The following is a 2,534-nucleotide window of genomic DNA, read 5'->3' on the forward strand; positions in this document are numbered from 1 at the left end:
AGGCTGGCAGATGGAGAGGTTACTTACTGGGCAGGAGGAAGTATTAAAGGGTTTTAAATGGAAAAGTGACATCAGATGCTGTTACTCTAAGAACTGCACTTTTCAAGAGGTCATTATGCAACTTGGGAGGCTGCGGTGGGAGTATAGCTTGAGGCCAGGAGTTCAAGACCAGCCTGGGCAACATGATGAGAACCTATCTCCACAATTTTTTTTTAAATTAGCTGGGTGTGGTGCCACATGCCTGTAGTCCCAGCTATTTGGGGTGGGGGGCTGAAGTGAGAGGATCGTTTGAGCCCAGATGTTTGAGGCTGCAATGAGTTATCGTCATGCCACTGCATTTCAGCCTGGGTGACAGAATGAGACCCTGTCTCTAAAAACATTAAAAGAAAAGATCATTATGACTGAAATGAGGAGATAAAGAGGCTAGTTTGGTGAGGTAAGACTGTATTGAGAGCGTCCAAGGCAAAACCTTTTGTATTATTTCAGCCTGATTATGATGGTAGCCTGAACCAGTGTGGCAGGAAGTAAATGGCTTTGAGAGACTCTTAAGGCATGTGGACTTGACAAGATTTGTTGATTAGATGTGTGGAAGGGAGGAATCTAGGTATCTGACTTAAACAAGAGTGTTGATGGTATTACCATTTCCCAAGACCCAGAGAACATTGGAGAAATAGCAGTTTTGGAAATTTAAGTTAATGTGCTCATTTCAGGATAGGATGAGTTTGAAGCCAAAGACATATTCAAGAGAAACTGTTAAGAAAGTACTTCTATGTATGGAGCTCGAAAGGAGACTGGGGTTGTTTCAGTAGATTTAGGAGTTGTCACCATAGCTATAAATTGAAGCATGATGAGACCTTCTAGGGAGAAAGTGAAGAGTGAGAAAAGAAGATGTCCTGGGTCACAACTCTAGGGAACCTCACCATTTTCTACATTAGTAGAGATGAGGGATCAATACTCAGTAATGAAAACAGAAAGAATAGTCAGAGGTGCAAGAGCAAAATCAGAAGGCTCAGTGCCCTCCCCCAAAAATAATAAAGAAAGAGGAAGTGGTCAATGGTATTGAAAGCTCCTGAAAAGTCAAAGATGATGAGAACTAAAACATATTCTTGGTCTTGGGGACAAGGAGGCCATTGGTGACCTTAGCAAGATCAGTTTCTACGGAACACTAAAGGCAGAAGCCAGATTGCAATGAGTTGAAAGGCTAAATGTAACGTGAGAAAATGATGATGATAAATGCTGAATATAGTTGGATTCATTCACTGACACATTTTTATTGTGTGTCTGCTCTGTGCCAGATGCTCTGCTACATACTGGATTTGATATGGTTAGGCTTTGTGTCCCCACCCAAATCTCATCTTAAATTGCAATCCCCAGGTGTTGAGGGAGAGACCTGGAGGGAGGTGATTGGATTGTGGGAGTGGTTTCCCCCATGCTGTTCTCGTGATAGTGAGGGAGTTCTCATGAGACCTGATGGTTTTATAAATGGCAATTTCCCCTGGGCTTTTCACTCCTCTCTCTCCTGCTGCCTTGTGAAGAAGGTGCCTGCTTCCCCTTCCGCCATGACTGTAGGTTTCCTGAGGCTTCCCCAGCCAGGTGGAACTGTGAGTCAATTAAACTTCTTTCCTTTATGAATTACCCAGTCTCGGGTAGTATCTTTTTAGCAATGTGAAAATGGATAATACAGAGTTCTTCTGGGTGGATGTCATAGAAACAATACTGGGACAAGGTAATTTCGGATATTAATGAGAGTGGTTTAAGTGATGGCCACAGGATCTTAGCTAGATAGAGAGAAAAGTGAAGGGATCAGGGACTGACGAGTATTAGACAATAGAGTGAGGAAGCTACTGGAGGTGTCAATAAACTTAAAGAACCAGAACTCCTGGAGTAATTGCTACAACCATGGAATAGGAGGTTGTGTCCAGAGACTAAGATTTCTGAGTTCTTGATGTGAAATGTTGATGTGGCTCTAAGAATGGGTGGCTGAAATGAAGGAGAAATGATGACGCGGCAACCAGTTATCTCTTAAAATGCAAGTCTGGATATGTCATGCTTACATATAAAACTTTCCAGTTGCTCTGTGGAAAAAGATTTTTTAAATCCTTAACATGGTCTATAACGCCTGCTCATTCCTTCTGGCCTCGCCTCATGATGCTTCTTTCCAGTCACTGGTCTTTTCAAGGGCTGTTTTCTTGGCCTAAAATACTAACGCCCTCACCTAGCACAAAAGCTTTATCAAGTTAACCCCTACTCAACCTTCAGTCTTTAGGTATCAGCTTAATGTCACTGCCTCAAAAAGAGCCTCCTTTTCCCTCAGAGTGGCTCCATGAACTTTTCCTTCACAGCAATCATTATAAGTTATTTGTGTTTGCGTGATTTTTAAAAAAATATTTTTGTGTTTCTCCCACAAATGTATAAGCCCCAGAAGAGTAGCAGTTATGTAGGTTTTGCTATTTGTTATTTTCCAACAACTAGCACTGTACCTAGCACATAGTAGGTGCCTAATAAATAATTGTTAAATGAATGGACAAATAAAG

At 41.8% G+C, this 2,534-nt stretch overlaps 1 annotated feature.

The window, feature by feature from the left end:
- Positions 969 to 1,138: an enhancer, noted in NCBI's record as "active region_16881". NCBI's record gives its function as "activates an Ori minimal core promoter by ATAC-STARR-seq in GM12878 lymphoblastoid cells {active_cell/tissue: GM12878}" and the evidence as "EXISTENCE:reporter gene assay evidence [ECO:0000049][PMID:35858748]".

This window comes from Homo sapiens, chromosome 2, assembly GCF_000001405.40.
Source record: "Homo sapiens chromosome 2, GRCh38.p14 Primary Assembly".
Taxonomy (NCBI): Eukaryota; Metazoa; Chordata; class Mammalia; order Primates; family Hominidae; genus Homo; species Homo sapiens.